At 37.2% G+C, this 23,029-nt stretch overlaps 1 protein-coding gene and 1 pseudogene across 4 annotated transcripts in view; one reads left to right on the forward strand and one right to left on the reverse strand.

The window, feature by feature from the left end:
* Positions 1-23,029, reverse strand: part of MANBA (mannosidase beta) — a 130,199-nt gene that overhangs the window by 27,866 nt on the left and 79,304 nt on the right. For all 4 annotated transcript variants that reach the window (NM_005908.4, XM_047415692.1, XM_047415693.1 and 1 more), the window contains 4 exons: positions 15,284-15,435; positions 12,646-12,763; positions 10,328-10,414; positions 6,050-6,217 (listed from right to left, as the gene is read on the reverse strand). In NM_005908.4, coding sequence (NP_005899.3) covers positions 6,050-6,217; positions 10,328-10,414; positions 12,646-12,763; positions 15,284-15,435 — 525 coding nt within the window. The remainder of the gene's footprint in view (positions 1-6,049; positions 6,218-10,327; positions 10,415-12,645; positions 12,764-15,283; positions 15,436-23,029) is intronic.
* RPL21P49 (ribosomal protein L21 pseudogene 49) lies at positions 3,946-4,481 on the forward strand (annotated as a pseudogene).

The raw sequence follows: 23,029 nt of genomic DNA on the forward strand, positions 1-23,029 counted from the left end.
TGTAATATAGAGCCATCCCTAGGAAGTGGCTTCCTAGCCCATATGGGGCCATGTGCCTCATTCTCATCCTCTGCCCCCATTTGCAGCTGAGGGTGCAAGAGATGGTGCAGCTGGAATAAGGTGTCTATATCTCTGAAAGAGGAGCTGCCAGCAGCCCTTTCATAGTGTCAGTGAGGAAGAAATACACTTTTATTATGTAAACCACTGAAATACTGTGGCTTACCTGTTACAACATCTAGCATGTAAGCACTTAACAGGGTGCCTAGCACACTGTGAGAACTCAAAATATAGTTACTATCATCTCAGTAGATGAGACTACTTCCTATTTCACTGAGAAGATTCATTCATTTAGCAAGTATTCGTCAAGTCTATTGTGTCTGGCATTTTTCCACACTGCAGAGGGAGGGAGAGAGACAGAGAAAGAGAGAGAGAGAGAAAGAGAGAGAATCTATGACTCTGTCAAGTACTTATACAACAAATCTCTTTTGAGTATTTCCTATTGGCCAGGCATGCAGTTCTTTCTATGTGCTGGAGGTTCAGCAGACAGCCATGGTGACCGTCTTGGAAGAGTAGATGGCAATTTAGTGCTGAAACCAGATACTGAACAAGTAATTATAAGTATGATGAATATTTTGAAGGAAAAGCGCAAGGCTCTTTGGGAATGTAAAACATATTACAGAAGGCCAGTAAGCCTTCCCTGAGAGATAGACTTCCAGAAAATAATTTTCTCAACTTTTCACCATTAGGTTTCACTTTTTCGTGGTATATCCATTCATATTTCATTTCTTGTTTCTATTCTGCTATTAAGAAAAAAAAATCCTTAACCCTTTCCTTTGCCAGACTCTGTGTTCTGGTCATCTTTCTAGTTTGCTTTGGTACTATAGCCAACAAACTATCTTCCACTCCATTTTTTTCTTAATCTCCCTCTACTGCCCTTTTCCCTTAGCTTCCTTAGGACTCCCTTTATCCTAATAAAAAGTCCCTTTGATCCCTTGTAGTCCATCAGATTTCTTTACCATCCTCTCATTCCTAAACCCCTGACATTCATTTCCTGATCATTTCACTCCACTGAAATGTTTTTCAAAAATTACCCATGAACTTCTACTTACTAAATAAAGCAGTTCTTTCTGTCCCCACTTATTCCCTCTCAGGTGTGCAATAAATGACCCTATTTACCACCTATTATTTCTGAAGCTCTCTCCACTCCTGGCTGTTTGTTCACAATTCTTCCACATTCCAGTTTCCCCCAACCTTCCTGATTCTTCCTTCTCCAGCTACCCTCTCCATCCCCAGATGGACACTCTACCTCTCTCTCAGGCTTCTCCTTGTTCTACACCCTGTCCCATGGCTTCCCGTCACATGGATGTTCTGATTACTCCTAGCCACACCTGCACACTTGACCTCATGTTCACCACCACACATTGCTGATAACCAGCTCCACATTTCCACCTGTGTTGTCTTGCCAACATCGCAAATCCAACCTTTTAAAGCAGAATTCTTTATTTACTAATTCCAAACTTATCTGACTATGCTCCCTTTCTTGCTGAACGGTACCCAGATTGGAGTCATCTTCAATTTCTCCCTCTCTTACCTCCCACATTCAGTCACTCTGAGTAGTAGCAACTCTACATTCAGATATTTTTTTCCATCACCGAATTTCCAATCCCACACCACTGGACTCCACTACCTATGACCTCCATGACCTTGGGGACTTAATGACTCTAAAATAAATATATCACCTACACTCCAGGTAACTTCTAAAAATTAAGTAAATAAATTATACAAAGCACTTACATAATTAACTTTTTAAAAATTTGTTTTTTAAAATTTAAAAAAAATTGTTAAAAGACAGAATGTTGCCCAGGCTGGAGTGCAGTGGCATGATCATAGCTCACTGCAGCCTCGACCTTCTGGGCTCAAAATAAGCCTCCCGCCTCAGCTTCCCAAGTAGCTAGGACTACAGGCACATGTCACTATGCCCAAAGAATTTTTTAAATTTTTTTGGAGACAGGATCTGGCTACATCACCCAGGCTGGTCTCAAACTCCTGGCCTCAAATGTTCCCCCTGCCTCAGCTCCCAAGTCACTGGGGTTACAGGTGTAAGTCACCACATCCAGCTTTAATTTAATATATTAATATATAATAATATTAATATAATAATTATAATTAATATATTGATGCCTGGCATCTCAGTAACTTGGAGTTCTTAGTTGTTATAACTGGTTTCCTTGTTTAGAACCTCTCACCTCCCTAATCTTTGCTAGTAATCTTCCATAAACATGGACCAGATAAAGTTCCTCCTCTCCCCCAAAATGTCCACTAGCTTCCCACCATCTACCGAATAAGCTCAACTCCATAATATGATTTAAAGTCCCTCTATGACCTGCTTCCAGTCTTCACTACCTTCCATTCTCCCACAGTAATCCAGGAGTCCCTTGCTCTTAGGCACCAGGCACTGCTTGCTGCTCATTATACATACCACCTACTTTCACATCTTTTTACCTTTATTTACATTGTTTTCATGACCTAAAGTACTACTAGACAATGCTTTGCCTCAAAATTCTCCACCTGTAAGGTTTCCCTTGAATGTAACCTTTTACTCGAAAGCCTTTTTAGATTCTTTCAGTTAAAATTAATGGTTCTGCCACATAGTTCCCAGCATTTTGAAGCTACATTTTTTATAGCACTTTTTTTAACTGCCCAAGGTCTGATAATTTTTCCCATGTTTCCCTTTGACAGCAGAGTGTAAGCTCCACAAAGATAAGAGTGTCCCCCACAGCATCGGGAATGAGGCTTTGCTCTTGGCAATAAGTACTCAGTAGATGTTGGGTGAATTTAAAAATATTAAAAAGTATGATGAAACTATAGGTGATACTAAATGTTTAAAAATATTTTTGCTACAATGGCTTTGAAGAACATTGAAGAAGAAGGCCAGTCAATTGGCCTTGATTGATCAAGCTTGACAGATTTCCCTTCATTCCTTGAGATTCTTGAGAAATTTGGCACGCTGAGCCATGCAGTAAAATTACAAACAAGTCTCTACCTAAAAATATCTGGCTTTGACGATGCATTATAATTTCCTTCCACTTATAAATCCTTTATTCTTGAGGTGTGGTTATTTGTTGCAAATCTCACAGATGACATCTTTCTAAGCCATGACCTTAAACCCTTAGTTGGACCAGGAAATACCATAAGGTGATCCAAGAGAATGGCCATAAAAAGAAAGCATGTGCAGCAGGAAACCAATCATTACAGCCAATTTGTAGATGAATCAATTTATGGTACTTTCCCTTTTTATGATGCCTAATACTTTGATGGAAACTAAAAGCAGTAGTGGTTATGTAGCTTTTAATACTATTCATCTTTGAAAAAATTTACAAACATCAGTTATTGCCCATGGCTCGTTTTAAGATAAATAAGTCCCTAAAAAGAAAGGCATATCTCCATTTCAGAGGTAAAAAAGAAATGGCACAAAGAAGCTAATTTTTTAAAGCTTAAGAATGTAGTGTTAAAATTAATGATCAAAATGTGTAAGTATCTGAAGATCTACCTTGTTGAACAAAAGCAATAAGGATGATGATGATGATGATGACGATGGCTAGTTTTAATTAAAAGGTTACTGTGGGCCAGGCGTGGTGGCTCACACCTGTAATCCCAGCACTTTCGGAGGCCGAGGTGGGTGGAGCAGGAGGTCAGGAGATTGAGACCATTCTGGCCAACATGCTGAAACCCTGTCTCTATGAAAAATACAAAAATTAGCTGGGTGTGGTGGTGCATGCCCGTAATCCCAGCTACTCGGGAGGCTGAGGCTACTCGGGAGAATTGCTTGAACCCAGGAGGCAGAGCTTGCAGTGAGCCAAGACCGCACTACTGCACTCCAGCCTGGTGACAGATGAGACAGATGAGACTCCATCTCAAAAAAAAAAAAAAAAAAAAAGTTACTGTGAACCACCATCTTTCAGTAATTCACTACAACGATGACACGCAAAGGGAAAGAGGAAAGGCACCTGATATTCTCTAGGCCTTTTAGAAAATATGGAGTTGTTCCTTTGGCCATATACATGTGAATCTACAAGAAAGGTGATGTAGACATCAGGGAAATGCATCTGGTTCAAAAAGGAATGCCCCACAAACGTTAATGTGGGAAAACCAGAGGAGTCTACTGTGCTACCCAGCATGCTGTTGGCACTGTTGTAAACAAACAAGTGCAAGATTGTTGCCAAGATAATTAATGTGTTGAGCATATTAAGCACTCTAGGAGCCAAGATAGCTCCCCAAAACTCAAGAAGGAAACAAAGGAAAAGAAAAAGAAGGAAGCCAAAGAGAAAGGAGCCTGAGTTCAATGGAAGCACAGCTGGCTCCACCCAGAGAAGTGCACTGTGAGAACCAATGGAACAGAGCCTGAGTTTCTAGAACCTGTTCCCTATGAATGCATGGCATAACAGGTGTTTAAAAAATAAAAGAGCTCTGGACTGTAAAAATATTTCTTTTCATTAAGCAGAAATGTGTTGTCCCCTGCCCCAAAGAAATATTTTAACTTTAAAAAAAAAAAAGTTACTATGCGTCAGACTGAGTCATGTGCCTTCCATCCATTATCTCACTTAGTCCACATAACAGCTCTTAAAAGTTAGCTCCTATTTTTAACCTAATTTTATAGATGGGAAAAGGAGGATTAAGTAACTCACCCAAGGTTACATAGACAGGAAGTGGCCCAGCCAGGATTTCAAAGCCTGCATACTTAACCACTATGCTATAAAATGAAAACCCTCAGAAACTATAAATCCATCAAACATGAAAAACATAATATCAATATTGTGAATAAAAAGATTATAAAATAAGTGTTCTGTAAATATTTTTTAAAATTTGTATCATCACATTTTGTGAATAGAAAAATTCTTCATGACACATGTCTTAGTATATCAGGTAAACTATAAATTTGAACCCATGTTTTTCATGAATTCTCAATGAAGTTTCTTCTATAAATGGAATAGTGCCATAAACTGGGCATGTTTAGGTGCTAATATCACATACTATTTTAAAAAATAGATGCCTTTTCAAATTGCTTCTGGATATACCCAGATATTTAAAACATCTATTTACAGACACAAAAGTGTAAAGACAACCAGATTATTAAATCACATGTTAAACAAAGTTTTTCAAAAGTTAAAACTTTTGAAGGCATTACTGAAAAAAATGCTGCTTTTTCTCACAAAAAGGCCAATTTATATTAACATATGTCTGTATAATATGCCAATTAGACAAACAGTGGTGCAAAGAGAACCACTATAGAGCAAGGGCCATACAGCGGGGTTGGAGACCAGCTCTCTCATCTCTCTTTGTCCCTTAAATCACATACCAGGACATTCATATGTGATATATACCAAAGTCTACTACTTTAACACATACGATTACAGAATTTTAGAAGTGGCATATCAATAATCATCGAATCTAGAGATTCTAAACTTTTTGGGATCCACGGATGGACTCCAAGGAGCATGTGACAACCTAGCATTGTAAGCACTGCATTGGTGTATGTGTGGAGAGCTGCACAGAGAAGTTAATCCTCCAAAAAGTCCACAGCCCATGAATCCTTTCATCTGCTGCTGCACTACAATGGGATACCCTGTATTCAAACGATACTGTTGAAGACAGCCCTAAAAAGGGGCATAAAACATACTATACCAGTATTCAAACTTATCCACTTTAAACATACATTCTTTTTTTTTTTTTTGAGACGGAGTCTCGCCCTGTCGCCCAGGCTGGAGTGCAGTGGCGCGATCTCGGCTCACTGCAAGCTCTACCTTCCGGGTTCACGCCATGCTCCTGCCTCAGCCTCCCGAGTAGCTGGGACTACAGGCGCCCGCCACCGCGCCCAGCTAATTTTTTTTGTATTTTTAGTAGAGACGGGGTTTCACCGTGGTCTCGATCTCCTGACCTTGTGATCCGCCCGCCTCAGCCTCCCAAAGTGCTGGGATTACAGGCGTGAGCCACCACGCCCAGCCCTAAAGATACATTCTTAAATTCTACTGCATTAAAAATCATTACTTACTGCCAGTACGAGCTCTCTGATGTTTTTCACATAGAGTGTCACATAGTCCTTGATGTAGATTGGCCGGTCAGTGAAACTGATATGATACCAATTCATCATCAGCGCCTCCTCATTTTCATTATTGCCACTCCATATGATGATAGAAGGATGAGATTTCAGTCTCTTGATCTGAAAATTAAGAAAACATAAAATGATTTTCAAAGAGTTAACATAAAAAATTCAGAGCTATAATTACTCATAAAATTAAAGCCCTTGCATTTCTGCACATAAATTCTTATGTGCCAAAAACCTAATTTGAAAATGGCTAGTCATGTTAGCTGCAGGAATACATTTTAAGAAATCTCTGAGATTCTTTTTAACTAGATTTTATAAACACTGATACATAGGGTTTCTCTTCTCTGCTATATAAAAACTGAAGATAATATAATCCCTTTTTTAGAAAGAGAAAGAAAAGGGGAATGAATAAACTCTTCACTCTGTGGATTGCCACAAAGAAAACTTTCAGGAAATACAAAAGGCAGGAGACATTATATTTTGGGGATTGGTTCTTAAGAGCAAATTGGACAAATTGGAGTTCTGTGTGAAGAAATAAATGAAGCAAAGCAAACACTACCACTGAAAGAAGGACGGAGGTTCCTATGCAGTCCTCACTGAGATCAGAAAACCAGAAGGGGAACTAGAGAAGGTTTTACAAAGCAAGTGAGTACTAGAGGTATGCTGGCAGTTAAAGACAAATATGGAATACTCTAAAGGAAAACAGATTAGGGCAATCAGGGTTGATGTCTCCTGAAATAACTATCAATGTCGTGTCCTGAGAAATCAACTAACATTAAGTTACTGAATGTACCTAAATATAAAAGGGAAAATTAGAGAATCTACCTGAAAACCGTGCCACACGAGGCCTGCATAAACTGAGCTCATCTGGGCTGGCCCTACATAAAGACAAAAGGATCCACTTGTGTTATGTTTGCACTGGACAGATTCAGACATGTCCCTTCTTCTAATACACTAGGACATGTGCCCCAGTAGAGAGCAATTAAATTCCTCTGAGAATGGCAGAGTGAGTCAATGGTCAAGAAAAATTCTTTTGGAACATGTTTTGGCAATGTTACCTCATTGATATTTATAGGTTCACCTTCGCTGTGATGCATGATTACACTGATTGCCCCCCACTGATGCTCTCAATGTGTTCTCCATTCAAGAAGCTCAGAAACTCACATAGATGAAATAGAGATGCACTGAAGGTATATTAAAGAGATATATTTCATTTTTAAAAAAATTAAGTCTTGTGTTTTTCTCAGCCAGCCATATAAACACTATTTCCTTTTTTTGTCTTTGTACATGCCCAAGAAAGGGACAGCTGCTACCAACTGTGACTGACATATTTATGCCACTGATGAAAATACAAATATAAATCCTGAAGTGGCAAAAAGCTTCAGTAGCACCGTGTTACACACAACCCTCAAGCTGACTTAGAGTTTTATGGTAAGCTTTACTTTAAAATTTTAACAAACTTTGCATGCAATGGCTCTCCTTATCTTTAATAATGCATCAAAGAACTGAAGATACATAAATGTTAGATTTTAATTATTTATACGAAAGAAAACTAAAAATAAAACTGAAATGCTTGCAACCTGTGTAACTACAATTAATATGTTTACAGTTATTCATTCATCCATTCATCTATCCACTTTGTGAATAATCCACAGAGTGGGGACGCAGAGGGGAATGAGTCCTAGGCCTCAGGGAGATGACAATCTTGCAGAGGTGACAAATCCTTGAACAAGTAATTCAAAGTGTGATGTGTGTCTCAAAAGGCAAAAGATTTTTCCCATGCTTAAGGTAAGAGGGGCCAAAGGAGAACAAAGGAGGTGGCTCACAAGGGCAGTGGATGGGGAAGATGTTCCAGGACATAGACAGCAAGATGGAGATGGTGCCTGAACAGGTGCAGACACCAGCTGGCCGGAGTCCCGCATTAAGAGGATCTTACACCTTACCCAGAGGTCAAGAAGCCACCTCAGGGGAAGTGTTGGCTAGGGAAGGAGTTCGATTGTACTTTTTAAACCTTTTATTTTAAAATGAAACACAGTTACAGAAAACAAATTATGACACGGTCAATTATCATAAGGCAATCACCCTTGTAGCCACCACCCAGTGCAGCCAGGCCGGAAGCCATCCACGTGCCTCTTCCTAATCACAGCCCCTTCCTCCTTCCAAAAGTAACCACTATCTAGAGTATCATAGTGTAATAGAAATCGCTTCCTTGCATTTCTGTATGGTTTTTCACAAAATATACATCTGCAGACACTATAATATGAACTCTAGATTTTAACACACTTGATGGATTCAATTCATTGACATCCTTATCTTTATTGAATCTCAAATTGTCCCCCTTTTGGTTGTTCAGAGTCTCTCAAAATCCTTTTGACATAACTTTGATAGCTTCCTTGTTATCTGCATGTTGAGATATTCCAGGATCAGGGTTCTGAGCAGGAATGTGGTATGACTTAAAATGTGTCAGTGGAAGATGACTTTGGCAGCTCTGTTGAGTATGCACATATTGAAAGAGACCAATGCTAGGGAGTCCAATCAGAAAACAAATGCAATGATTGAGGAGAGGGAAAAATAGGATTTGAATTAGAGTAGTAAGCACGGGGGTGAGAAAGTAAATACAAATACTAGTAACATTGATATCAAAAAATTGTCTCAACTTAAAACCAGATGGATGTGGGAGGTGAGAAAGAAGAAAGTATCAATGACTTTCATATTTCCTGCTAAAAAGAAAAATCTTGAAAGAGTGCACTGGGGAAAAGATAATAGATGTACTTTGAAGACACGCTGAGTTAGTGTGACAGCTGCTATTATTTGTTATTTCTTTTGAACTGCATGACTTACACGTATTATCCTATTTAATTTTTGAAACAGTTTCATGAGGAGTGACATCATACTAGAGTTATAGATACAGAAATTGAGGCTCAAGAGGTAAAGTGACCTCCCTAAGGTTGCAGACTCACCATTCAAGAAGAAATATCAAAATATTTGTTCTTTGTATATCAACATTACAAAAAATCTGGCAGACAGTTGGACATGAGAAATTGAAATCAGAGTCAATAATTATCCACATTGTAGCTTTACCTGAGGTTACCGAGAAAATGGATTTGTTTCCTTCTTTAACATGTTGCAGAGCACTATAAAAACTCAATATGTCTCCACAGTCTTGCAAACTCTTTACAAGGTAGGGGTGATCTCCTGGTGCAGTGATCATTTCCAATGGATGCTAATGAATCAGTCCGATGTTTCAGTAGTATTTTACTAGCATATGATACACTCACAAGTTGGTTTCTAAACTGTATTTTGGGAGTACATCATAATTCAGAATTTTCATGTATTGACAAGCATCCCACTCTGATTCTACATGGAAACCCATGCCATGCACTTAATATTTAGGGGAGAGGAAATATAATGCAATCTGTGTTTCAAAGCATGATCATCCCCTAAACAGACCTTGCTGCAAAAATAAGTATATTCAGCACACAGCTCATAAACCTCAGATCTGTGGCTAAAATTATCAGTTGATAATATTATATTAACACCATTGCCATTTGTGAAAAGAAGATATCCAGGATCATTTTATATATTTCCTGTGCCAGACCTGGAGTCGGCCATTTCTCTAAGAAGCTTTTCTCTTAACAGGAAAGATTACTTCAATATAAGAATACTCAACACTACAACGTTGGGCATTATTTCTAGATCTTTTCAGTAGGCAGAGAAAGCATATAATCACTTCCTTGCATTTATATATCTGTGAATATAAATATAAATGTCAATATGTGGAATCTAAAATAAATCAAGGAATCAATAATCAATTTAAACTTTCTCCTGAGCAATTCAAACAGTGGTGTTGCTGTTTGCTGAGATGGAGAAAACTTCAGAAGAAGCAAGATTGGGGAGGGGGTGCAATATAAGTTTAGTTTGTACATGTTACATTTCAGATGCCTGTTAAACCTCCAAGCAGAGGCACCAGGTAGGCAGTTGGATATAAGAAAGAGGAATTCAGCAGAGAAATCAGGACTGGGGATAAATCTGGGAGTCATCAGCCAATAGATGATGGTAAAGCCATGACACTGGGTACAATCACCTAGGATGTCAATTACCTGGCTGTGTAATTTTTCATGGGATTTAGTAGAGAACAAAAACCAAAATGAAGCAAGATTTAACAAAAGGCAATACTAAAACATATTATTTGTTTTATTTCTTCTTGGAAGGGTAGTAACATACCTGGTAGGCAACTTCTGCTGTCACTGAATCCAGGAAGCCCTGATCAGTTGGATAAAGGGCACAGGCAAACATAAAATCCTGCCATACCTAGCAAATCAAATAAAAGGGAATGCAACACTTCCATAAGTTTTATTACACAGAAGAAAGTCTTTATTCTGAGCTCTGGGCATTATCTTTCACACAAATGAAAAATCCAGTTAGCCTGATGAGTGTGATCACTGGGGCGCCATTATGCATAATTTGATACCAAGAAATGTATCAAAGACATTAGGACTTCCCAGAACTGCACAAAATCTGAGAAGAGAAAATCCTAGGCAGGTATAGAAGAAAGAGAAGATGGAAGAATTTGAAAAAGAAAAAATGTGTGGAGGGGACACAGAATGAGGCTTCCCTCCAGCCCCTTGTCACTCCTAATTCATTCCAATTTTCACCAGGCATTTGGTATTGAGATGCACCAGACTGTTAAGAATCATACTTCATTTATAAAGGAATTAGCTTTTCATAGACAAAAGGATTACTACATGCACATTTTAGTAATGAAACCATATAAGTCCCTTCCTAAGGAGGCTGTGTGATGCAATGGTTAAGAACACAGCCCCTGCTGGGAGCAGTGGCTCACGCCTGTAATCCCAGCACTTTGGGAGGCTGAGGCGGGGCGTATCACCTGAGGTCAAGAGTTCGAGACCAGCCTGGCCAAAATGGTGAAACCCGGTCTCTACTAGAAATACAAAAATTAGGCCAGGCACGGTGGCTCACGCCTGTAATCCCAGAATTTTGGGAGGCCAAGGTGGGCAGATCACGAGGTCAGGAGATCGAGACCATCCTGGCTAACACGGTGAAACCCCGTCTCTACTAAAAGTACAAAAAATTAGCCGGGCAAGGTGGTGAGCGCCTGTGGTCCCAGCTACTCGGGAGGCTGAGGCAGGAGAATGGCGTGAACCCAGGAGGCAGAGCTTGCAGTGAGCCAAGATTGTGCCACTGCACTCCAGCCTGGGTGACAGAGCAAGACTCCGTCTCAAAAAAAAAAGAAAGAAATATAAAAATTAGCCGGGCGTGGTGACACACATCTGTAATCCCAGCTACTTGGTAGGCTGAGGCAGGAGAATCGCTTGAACCCAGGAGGTGAAGGCTGCAGTGAACCAAGATCGCACCACTGCATTCCAGCCTAGGCAACAGAGCCAGACTCCATATCAAAAAAAAAAAAAAAAAAAAAAAGATCATAGCCCCAAAGCAGCCTGTCTGAGTCGGAATTTCATTCCACCATAAATGAGTTGTTAGAGTTTGGATAAAATATATAACCTCTTCATGTGTCAGTTTCCTTATCTGTAAATGGGGATAGAGAATAGTAACTACATCATTGAATGGGCATGAAGATAAAATATGTAGAGCACTTAGAACAATGCCTGGCACTCAGAGAATATTATAGAATATTGTCATCGTCACAATGACCATCAGCATTATCATTATTAGAATAATTCCTAGTCTTCGGTGGCACTCTTTATATTTTAGAACAACAATAATAGAACTAACAGAATATATTTTCTTTGCTTTATCCTCACAATTGCAAAACACATTAAAAGTACTTAATAACAATATTAGGGCCAGGTACAGTGGCTCACACCTGTAATCTCACCACTTTGGGAGGCAGAGGCAGGTGGATCACCTGAGGTCAGGAGTTCAAGGCCAGCCTGGACAACACGGTGAAACCCCATCTCTACTAAAAATACAAAAATTAGCTGGATGCTAATTTACTAAAAATACAAAATTTAGCACATGCCTGTAATCCCAGCTGCTCCGGAGGTTGAGGCAGGAGAATCGCTTGAACCTGGGGTGGAGGAGGGTGCAGTAAGCTGAGATTGCACCATTGCACTCCAGCCTGGGCAACATTTTTAATTTTTAACAAATTAAAAATAAAAAATTAGAAAAAATTTAGAAAAACAATATGAAACACACCTTTTCTTTACTTAATTTTATTATTTTTCTTCTCTTTAGGTTTCGTCAGATCTCCTTTAAGTGTTTTAAATATTTTGTTTTCTTTTATATGCATACCTAAATATCACAAAGAAAATTATTTTAAAAGTAGGTATATGTATACTGGGATATAAATAATTTACAGGATATCTATCATTTAAAAATAAATAATTATGGTAGTTGATCACCTATGGCTCTTGGTTTACAAGATGCCATTTATTCCTATAGCCCCAAATGGAATATCATTCCTAGCTCTGAGACTGGGGCAATTGCATCATTCAGAACATTGGCAGTCAAACTGAGGATATAGTAACTTATCAATATATAAAATGCTATCAACTTCTCACCATTATTCCTAGTTCATCACAGAGTTCATAGAATTCATCCTGCTCATAAATTCCTCCTCCCCAAACCCGAAGAGTATTCATATTAGCATCCACAACAGACTGTAAAAGGAGCCGTAACCTGTAGAAGACATTTTAGAAACAAATCATAATTTGGAAAAAAAAAACAGATTGTGACAGATAAACACATTTCTAATCTGTTAGAAAAACACACTCTAAAATCATGATGGTTTGGTTACAATGTAAATTAAAGAAAGTAAGATAAAATTATATACACATTAACTATAACCACATAAAACAAATAAACAGAAAAAGTATGGGTGATATCTTTACCTATTAAATTTTCAGTAACATTATTATACTCTTTTTAAAATTAAATTTATGTTTTATATTTAGTCTTATAAAAAATACAGTTGTAAGCCTTGGAAAGTATGCACTAATTTTATACAAACCCTCCAAACTATAAAACAAAATCAAGACTTGAGTATTAGTGCCTAGCACCCCTATCTCCTTTTATGCAATTTCTCCAGCCCAGTATTTCTTTCTCTAGTAAATTTCCTTTCTACTTTTTCCAATTCCTATTCACATTACCCTCAGGAAAATCTAGAAACTTACAGGCAGCTTGAGAGCATGTACCTTCCCTCCATTCCCAGAACAGTGCTCAAACCAAGTAACAGGCTGGGCAGACCCAGAGCACTGTGGGCTCAGCACAGGCACCACGGCAGGCTTACCAATTGGCCCAGTTGGGCTGAAGGACCACAGCCAACCCAGCCCCAGCTGGGAGGGGAGAGGAGCATTTGAAAAGGAAAAAGATAGAGCCAATTATCCCGTGGCTGTGTCTGGAGAAGAATTTCATTTTCTTATGAAATCTAAAATAATATACACATTTTAAAGTAAAAGGAAATTACTACAACTTTTGGAAAAAATCAGGGTTTAGTTACTGATGACATTTACATTCTAAACATCAAATAATATACTACAATGCACATTTATACATTTGTAAATATGCTAAAATGTTATTTAATTTAGATAATAAATAAGTTTAAATGTGTTTATTTTCATTTCATAAAGTTTATTTTCAGCATTGCAAAGATTTAAGTTTACAGATCCAATTAGGAAATATTATTTTCTTCCAAAGTTCTATTCCTTCAGTCTTGGAAAAACATTTTTTTTCCTAGATCTAGAACTTTTAAGATTATATTTTGTTTTTAAATAAATTGTATTGTGTATATTTAAGGTATATGACATAATGTTATGGGATATATAGATAGATAGTTAAAAGGTTACTATAGTGAAACAAACCAACGTACTTACCATCCTACAACAGGGGTCCCAACCCCCAGGCCACGGACTGGACCATGGATCAGGTGGCACAGCAGGAGGTAAGCAGCTGGTGAGCAAGCATTACTACCTGACCTCCTATCAGATCAGCGGCAGCATTAGATTCTCATAGGAGCAGGAACACTATTGTGAACTGTGCATGCGAAGGATACAGGTTGCATGCTCCTTATGAGAATCTAATTCCTGATGATCTGAGGTAGAACAGTTTCATTCCAAAACTATCCCCTCATCCCCCACCCCCAATCTGTAGAAAAACTGTCTTCCATGAAACTGGTTATTGGTGCCAAAAAGGTTTGGGACTGCTGTCCTACGTAGTTATCCACTCTTTTTTGCTTTTGTGGCACAAGTAGCTAAAATCTACTCACTTATTTACCATGAATCCTATAAATAGCACAATTTTTTTAACCTATATTCCTAGTGCACATCAGATCTCTGGACTTGTTCTCTTGCATATCTGCTACATTGTATCCTCTGACCAACAGCTCCCAGTTTCCTCCCCACCCTCCCACAACCGCGCCTCCACTACACACGAGATTTTGTTTAGTTCTTTTGTTGAGATAAAAGTAAAAGAATATGCAAATACCTTAGCATAGAAAGGTAAATATGGGGTTGGCCCGGTGGCTTACGCATGTAATCCCAACACTTTGGGAGGCTGAGGCAGGTGGATCATTTGAGGTCAGGAGTTCAAGACCAGCCTGGCCTACATAGTGAAACCCCATCTCTACTAAAAATACAAAAATTAGCTGGGCGGTAGTGGCCTGCACCTGTAATCCCAGCTACTTGGGAGGCTGAGGCAGGAGAATCGCTTGAGCCTGGGAGGCGGAGGTTGCAGTGAGCTGAGATCACGCGACTGCACTCCAGCCTGGGCAACAGAGCAAGACTCCATCTCAAAAAAAAAAAAAAGGTAAATATGTGTTCTTATCTTTCAAAACCATGCTCAAAACATTTAACGTATCATTTGAAAAGCTGAAAATAGTTGAATGTAATATTTTTTTCGGAGACTATTCAAAATATAAATTACTCATTTTCTTATTTCTCCAGAATAAACATATAATAGTTTTCTAAAAATCGAATGGCTTCAACAGTCTCAAATAGTTTAGCTGTAAGACCACCTGTAACCCAGGAGAATGGAATATATAATTTTTAAAATCCTGTCCATTCTGAAGTTTCCATCGTCTAGAATTCTATACTACCTCTTAGTTCCTTGCCCAGAGACTAAAGAAAGTAAAAATGAGTAAACCTCAAGCTTTGCGGGACTGCTAATTAAAAGAAGAACAAGAAAAGAAAGACAATAACTTACAACTCAGAGGTTACTCGGTCCTGGAATGAATCTGCTGGGATCCAGTTTGAGCCTTTTAGAAATATGGGAAATCCATTAATTTTGAAATAGAAACTCAAACCAGGAGACCCTTTTATAGGCTCTTCTATAAGTTCCACTGTCCTAAAATAAACCTGCAATGAACAGAATTAAATGATGAATATCAAATTTAAACATAAGCAAAATAGTTTTTTTAAAAAAAGCAGACCTTTTTGAAAAACTACATTCAGTAGTTTAATGCTAATTTTCCTATTTACTATGAAGCACATAATGTGGAAATGCACATTTCAGGAATATACACATATAAATTATTGCTAGCATCCGTTATTTCTCTTTTAAAAGAGAAATATAGAAACCACTAAAGAGCTACTGTAGTCTTCCACATGAAATAGGCATTTGTGATAACATCAAAAAAGACAATTTGAAGATAACATCTCTAAATTAAAACAAAAACATGCTATTTCAAAAAAATAGAAAAAAATGCTGTCTTTGAAAAACACATTCTCATTTCAGTGTTGTTAAAAGGTAGCCAAACATGCATCTTAGAATCAAATGTTATAACTTAACAACTTTGCAATCTTAATAACACATTACCATAAAATCACTTTGTTTAATGGGTAATTTAATCCTAATTACACATTAAACTCAATGTTTGAGCACGCTCTGGTTTCTTGACTGGAGATGTACATGGTGTTCTAATGGAAGTAGATGCAGCAGGACCACGCACTCTGTGCTATTGGTGCTCTGGAGAGGAAGCAGAGGCTCCATCCTAGTGACAGCCTAGCCAGGTTTTCCCCCAGTTAAGCATGGGCAGCAAGACCCCAGATAGAGAAGCTTTGACATTTTTATCAAAATCTTTATTCTTGCCAGCCATAAATTGGATCAAGTTTATATAAGATTTTATACCAATAAAGCCTAGCCTTAAGCCAAAAGCACACATTTCTCTAACTTAAAAAATCAGTGAATGAATTAGTCAAATTATTTCATGTAATAAAAGTGTCCACCATTCTCCTGCTTCCTGACTCCTGACTTTATTTATATGAAATGACAAAAGACCTCAGAATTAACTTTACAAGAAGATACAGAATATGTCCTGGATAAGGAGGATCTTGACACGCGATGATCACTCCTGCTTCAGGGTTGCAAAATGTCAAGAATGCACAGTGATTTTCAGAGGTGACTTTTAAAACACCATGATGGTGGGTTCCAATATCTAGAACAGTGCATGGTTCTTTAAGTGTGGCCTGGGGACTCCAGGAGGTCCCTTGGAGACTGTCAGTGTGTCCTTGACTTTACTTAGAGTAAAACTAAAACATTATTTGCCTTTATCTCTCTCAGTCTCTGAGTGTCAGTGGAATTTTCCAGAGACTACATGATGTGTGCCTACTTCATCACTCTGACAGCTAATGGAATGTGTGCTGTGTATTCCACTGTGATGTAGCTCTGCGGCAGAGGTTTATGGTATGAAGCAGTGCATTTTCAGAGATTAACTCAGTTTGTTCTCAGTACTTTTACTGTGCTCTTACTATTAATAGCTGTCTTTGATTATTCCTGCTGTAATCTCTGTACCCTCATTGTTGTTCAATAAATTCTTACTTTGAACCCCAAAGTTTCCCTTGCAACCTACACAGGAGCACAAAAGGAGTAGGTACTACTTATTCCTTTGTTTCACAGCAATATTTTTAAGTTTTCAAATAAAAACAAATTTTAATTTTAATTGAAACTCATTTTACACTTTAATAATATTTTATCTTGTTCTAAAAGAAAATTTATTTATAATACTTTTTTCCAATTTAGGGATGAATTGTCAAAATGGGATTAGAAGGCTTACCTTCTCACCAGCCTGGCCAACATGGTGAAATCCTATCTCTACTAAATACAAAAATTAGCTGGGTGTGGTGGTGCATGCCCATAATCCCAGCTACTTGGGAGGCTGAGACAGGAGAATGACTTGAATCCGGGAGGCAGAGTTTGCAGCGAGCCAAGATTATGCCATTGCACTCCAGCCTGGGCTACAGAACAAGACTCCGTCTTGAAAAAAAAAAGAAGGCTTACCTTCTCAACCTATAACTGCACTATCTGTCTATATCTGAGGATGCTGAAAAAAGTGAAACTGACATATCAGACAGTCTTTTGACTCATGGAAGGGAAGAATCTACTCTAAACAAACTGGGTAAAATTATGAATAAGAAGTGAAATTATGATGAAAGCCACCTTTCTCTTGACTTTATGGATGTTAATAACTTACCTTTTTGTGCGTTATGCAATGGAACATTTAAAAATAATATTTATGGTGCCAGTTAAGTTGTAGTGTCTCATTGAGACAAATCATTCACAGTATGAAGAAAAGAGAATTGAATATTTAAACTTATACATGATAAGCTCATTAAAAGTCAAACAGTGTTTATTACATCTTTTCAAACCAGACATGAAAAAACCCAGTGAAGCATCTTACAGGGTTAGTTATGCACCCCTGGCTGGAGAAGCACACATACTAGCTGAGAGACAGTTGTACTGTTGACATTGCAGAATGCTTACTAGATGAAAAGTTAGTCGAGGAAATAACAGCACTGCCACTTTGCAATGACAGAGTAACTCGTCCAATTAAGAGATTTGACTGCAATATGAAGACTGGCCTGATATCTCATCTGAAATAATCATACTTTTGCTTTACAAATGAGTGAATCTCCAGATATAGATGGACTTGCCAGTTTGCCTGTATTTGTCTGTTATCAGCACGATAAATCATCAAAAAACTTCTTTTCTGTGAATTTTTGGCAACAATATACAAGAGGTGCTGAAATATTCAAAGTACTAAATAATTTTTTGAATAATATCCTGTAATTACTGTGTTAACATTTGCACTGACGTTACAAAAGCAGTGGTGGGTTAACACTGCTGGTGCCTTAGCAGGAATCAAGGCAGTAGCTCCAAACTGCTAGTAGTCATTACATCTTTCACCTTCATGCATTAGCAGCAGGAAAATGAAAAAAAAACAGTTTCACTTAAGACTGTCCTTGATAAAGCAGTAAACATTAATTTCATTAAATCCCAACCCTCAGTATGCATCATTTTAATATCCTGCATTATGAAATGAGCAATATCCATAAAGCACCATTCACAATAGATAGCTGGAGGAAAAGCCTCTGGGCCATTAATAGAGTTGTATGTAAGCTGAATTGGCCTTGTTCACGACACTCCATTTTTACTTGATAGAAAGAAGGACTGACAGACAAACGATGGTTATTCAGACTTGGATACCTGGCAGACATTCTCTAGAAAATGAATGGAGTGAGCCTATCATTTCAAGAAAAACAACTAGCAGTATTTGTGGCCAAGGATAAAATTCAAACTTTCAAGTAAAAATTGGGATTAGGGAAAACTTGTATCTACTACCTCACGGTAGTAGATACTACTTAAATACTTAAAAACTTTTTAGATGACATCAGTGGTGATATTAACAAATGTGATATTATAAAAGGAAATGTTTCAACATTTGGAAGATCTGTAACTCTCAAGAAACAAACATTTTCCAATAACCAATGCATTATATTACAATATCACATAATATGGGTAAAGAATTCACACAAAGTGCAAGATAGACAAATGAATTTTAATGTAACAGAGAACAAAAAGTTTAAGAAACTATCATTTGTTAAAAGAAAACTATCATTGGTTAAAAGAAAATCCACAATTTATCTGAAAAGACTATTTTTTCCCTTTTCCAAGTACATCTGTGTGAGGTCAGATTTCCTTAATCTGTTTCAACCGAAACAACATATTGCAAATTGACTGAAGGCAGATACAGATGAGAATCCCTTTGTCTCCTACTAAACAAGACGTTAAAGTGACTTGCTAACATGTAAAACTGTCATTATTTCCACTGGTTTTTTTGGTCAATATATTTTTTATAAAATAAGTCATATATAAAAACAGTCATATGTGCCATGGTTTATTATGGTTATTTAAAATGAATAAGTAAATACTTAATTCTCAGTTTTAATATTTAATATGGTAAATATCGGTACATATAACCCATATAAACAAAAGCATGTTGGGGTTTTCAATAACTTTTGTAAGTATAATGCAGTGCTGAGTCCAGAAAAATTTGAGAATCACTACTGCAGAAAATAGAATTTATTTGTTTCTTAATATACATTAATGCTACAAATTGTATTAACTATACAACATAACACTTTCCAGAATATTTTTCCTTTCTGTGCAAATGTTCTTATAAAAAGGCATCTCTCCCTATCCCCCAACTCTTGCAATAACAAGTTATGACTGGGGTGACAATAAACCCAAACCACCTGACAGTGCCTCAGAGGTGAAGTAGTAATTACCAGCCACCTTTCCCTCTGGGCATTCTTTCACAAGTGAAAGGCTCCCGCTTCTATGATAAGTGTCAGTAATTTTCCACGTCCTCTGGCAGTCTTGATAGTCACATAAAAGCCTTCTTCTACAACAGGTATTTTACTTCAGAGAAAATAATGGGTTCTAAAAGATTTCTTGAAAAGACCCTTGAGTAACACATATTTGCATCCAAAGTAAATATATAATCTTCATATGAGACTAAAATTTTTTAAACAGTCCAACAAAGCAAATTATTGTCTAACAGTAGGAAAAAGGTATAAATACCTAAGAAACTAAAAAATGTGTAAGTCGGGCAGTTAGAAAATTAAAAATTTTAACTTCTAAATTTTTATCTATTTTTGAAGTTTCTATTCCTCACTAGATCAGTGTTTTTATTAGCTTCAAAAAGATTTCATTTTCAAAATAGAAGGATTAACTTTAAAAGTGCAGGATAGTTGAATGCATTCTTTCAAACAAGAATTAAGGATATCTGAACTAAAGGGCCTAAGAGGTACGTGACTGATAAATACGGTACTCCTCAAATTTCTTTCTCTGGCAGACCAAACAGATGATATGTAATGAATCATTGATTCACAAACCCAAGGCTGCTTCTCAGCTGTTTGTATCAGATACTTAAAAAGCTGTAATAGCATCACTACATTTTCAAAAGGGCAATTTTCTTCTTAAAAAGAAATCCACTTATTTCTAAACATTGTCAAATGTCAAACCTGCTAAAATCCTTTTACATGTATTTTAAGAGACAACCAAACACTGCATTTCTGTCTTTGTTCTGAAAGTGCTCCCCCATGTAAAAGTATTGAGAAAACAAGCTCTGGGTCTCCACAAATAGCTCTTGTCAAACAGGTCTGTGCAGGATGACACAAGAGACATTCTTTGTCGTGCCCTTGCAATTTGCAGACAGCACAACCAGAAGTTAACAGATTAACATTGACATCGGCACAGTTATGCATCCTTGTAGCCAGATGTGTATCTAGTATATCTGACACCAGATAGGATCACTTTTTAAGACCTCCTCTTCCATATGACAAAGTTATTTTCAATAGAAGTAATGAAATGAAATGAATAATGATAATGTCCAGAAAAGAATGTAGACATTAAAAATTTTCTTTCCCTGAACTTTGTATAATCACGCCAGTTTTTTAAAAAAGTAAAACAAATATTAGCGTACAAAAAAGGAAAAGTTAATAGATTCAAGTTTTGATTATATTAATATATTTAATAAAATTATAAACAAAGGGAATAACATATATAATGGTATGCTATAGTAAGAAATAATAATATTTGCTATTTTCAGCCTTACCTTCTAAAAATCTGTCAACAACTTTCTCAAAATTGATCTTCTTTGGACATACATGTTCAACAAAGGGTATAGCCAGCTCTTTTGATTTATTTGTCATAGCTGATGGAAAAACACCTTTTATTAATTTTAACTCAGAAATGTTCTTCCAGATGAGGCCAGAGATATGCAAATATTTTAGAAAAGTATTAAACATAATAAGTTTGGTAGAGATTCATAATAATCCCACATCACATTAAACTCCAAAAAAATGCAGTCATATCCATGCCTTTGTTCTTTTGACTTTCATTCAAACAATTTACAAATGCCTCTGAGGTATAAAAAAAAAAAAAATCCCACTTCTCAAGTATTTCTTCTGTAAAATCAGAGAAAATGGCTAAATGATTGTGAACACAGATACTATTTGATTAATTGCTGTAGAACAAGTGTCCAGTTCTCAGGGACAACAATTGGGGCGTTTGGCATTGCTATGTGGATTTCTCTGAGCAATGGAAAACCAGCAACTCTTTGTTGTTTCTCCTGGCACTCTCCTTCAAAATTTGATTCTTTTTTCTATGTAAATGTTGATTTCCTTATATTTTGTTGTTGCACAGTAAATAGGCTTCACCAAAATTTCTGTGCACTTATCTTCAAAGAAGAATTTTAAAGTTTGGTATTTCACTGTACATTGTTCAAGATGGAGTCTATTTGCAAATATTTTTGTATCTGATTAATGTCATCTAAAACTATACCAGAAAAAAGATAATTCCAGAGAGAAAACCGCACACAGCAGAGAGAAATGTCTGAGCTGATTCACGTGTCCACATTTTCTTTGGATTACATGGTACTTCAGAGTTGAGATTAACTTTTCAAAATTTTTCTACTGTGGCCCAGCTTCATAATGAACCTTCCATCTTGTCTAGGAAAGCTTTTCTGCAGCTTTTCCCATCAATGAGGTGAGATGAGAAAGAATGAATACAATTTGTCCAAAGTTCTAAAAAAAAAAAATCACACAGGAAAAAAAAAGTTTCCAAAAAAGCAAATTCCACAAGGCTCAGAGAATAATTTCCAAGAGGCTGAAATAAAATTTTGGATTAATTTCTTTGATTTTTGCATGAACTCCACAGTGAATACTGGCCACATATGCAGCATCTTTTATCCTGGCCCATAGCAGAGGTTTATGAAATAATAATCCCATTCCTTGAAGCTATTTTCTGTGCATTCTGCAGCAGTTGTTCTGGAAATATGAGAATGACTCCTTTATCTCCATTCTACTACCTTCCCTATGACCAGTTCACACATTTGATCTCTGTTTCCAGAAAGGTAAGAATGACTTCTTTATTTCCACTCTGCCACCTTCAATATAGGCCTATCTGACCAATTCACACATTTGATCTCTGTTTAAAGTATCCAGAGTGCTGTCAAAAAGAATTCCAGCCAGGCAGTGGCTCATGCCTATAACCTCAACACTTTGGGAGGCTGAAGCGGGAGGGTTGCTTGAGGACAGGGGTGTGAGACCAGCCTGGGCAACATGGCAGGCTGTGTTGCAACACCCACTTACTGTCTGCACCTAAGGCTAACTACTCCCCATCTCTAGAAAAATAAAATAGGCAAGGCATGGTAGCATGTGCCTGTAGTAGTCCTAGCTACTCAGGAGGATAAGGTAGGAGGATCACTGGGGCCCAGGAGTTCAAAGCTGCAGTGAGCTATGAGCAGCCTGGGTGACAGAGTGAGCCCCTGTCTCTAAAAAGAACAAAATAATAATAATAATTCTAAAGCATTTTTTTCAGTATCTGCCACCCCCTACTAAAGCATACCACTGATGTCATGTTTTACTTTGACTCTTTCTTTAGTTTCAAAACAACAAATTTAAAAAAATAAATTTCAATTCTAAAGACACTATTAAAATTAGTAGAATATACTTCATACATGAACTAAAATATGCACTTACCAAGCAAAATATTACACATTACACCTCAGAGTCCATAGCTTTCTCAACTGTAAATTTAAAGCATAAAAATAACTCCAAGAGATCACATCGAATTGAAGTAACTTATGTTGAGTTTCTCCTTTTTTAT

This window comes from Homo sapiens, chromosome 4, assembly GCF_000001405.40.
Source record: "Homo sapiens chromosome 4, GRCh38.p14 Primary Assembly".
NCBI classification, from domain to species: domain Eukaryota; kingdom Metazoa; phylum Chordata; class Mammalia; order Primates; family Hominidae; genus Homo; species Homo sapiens.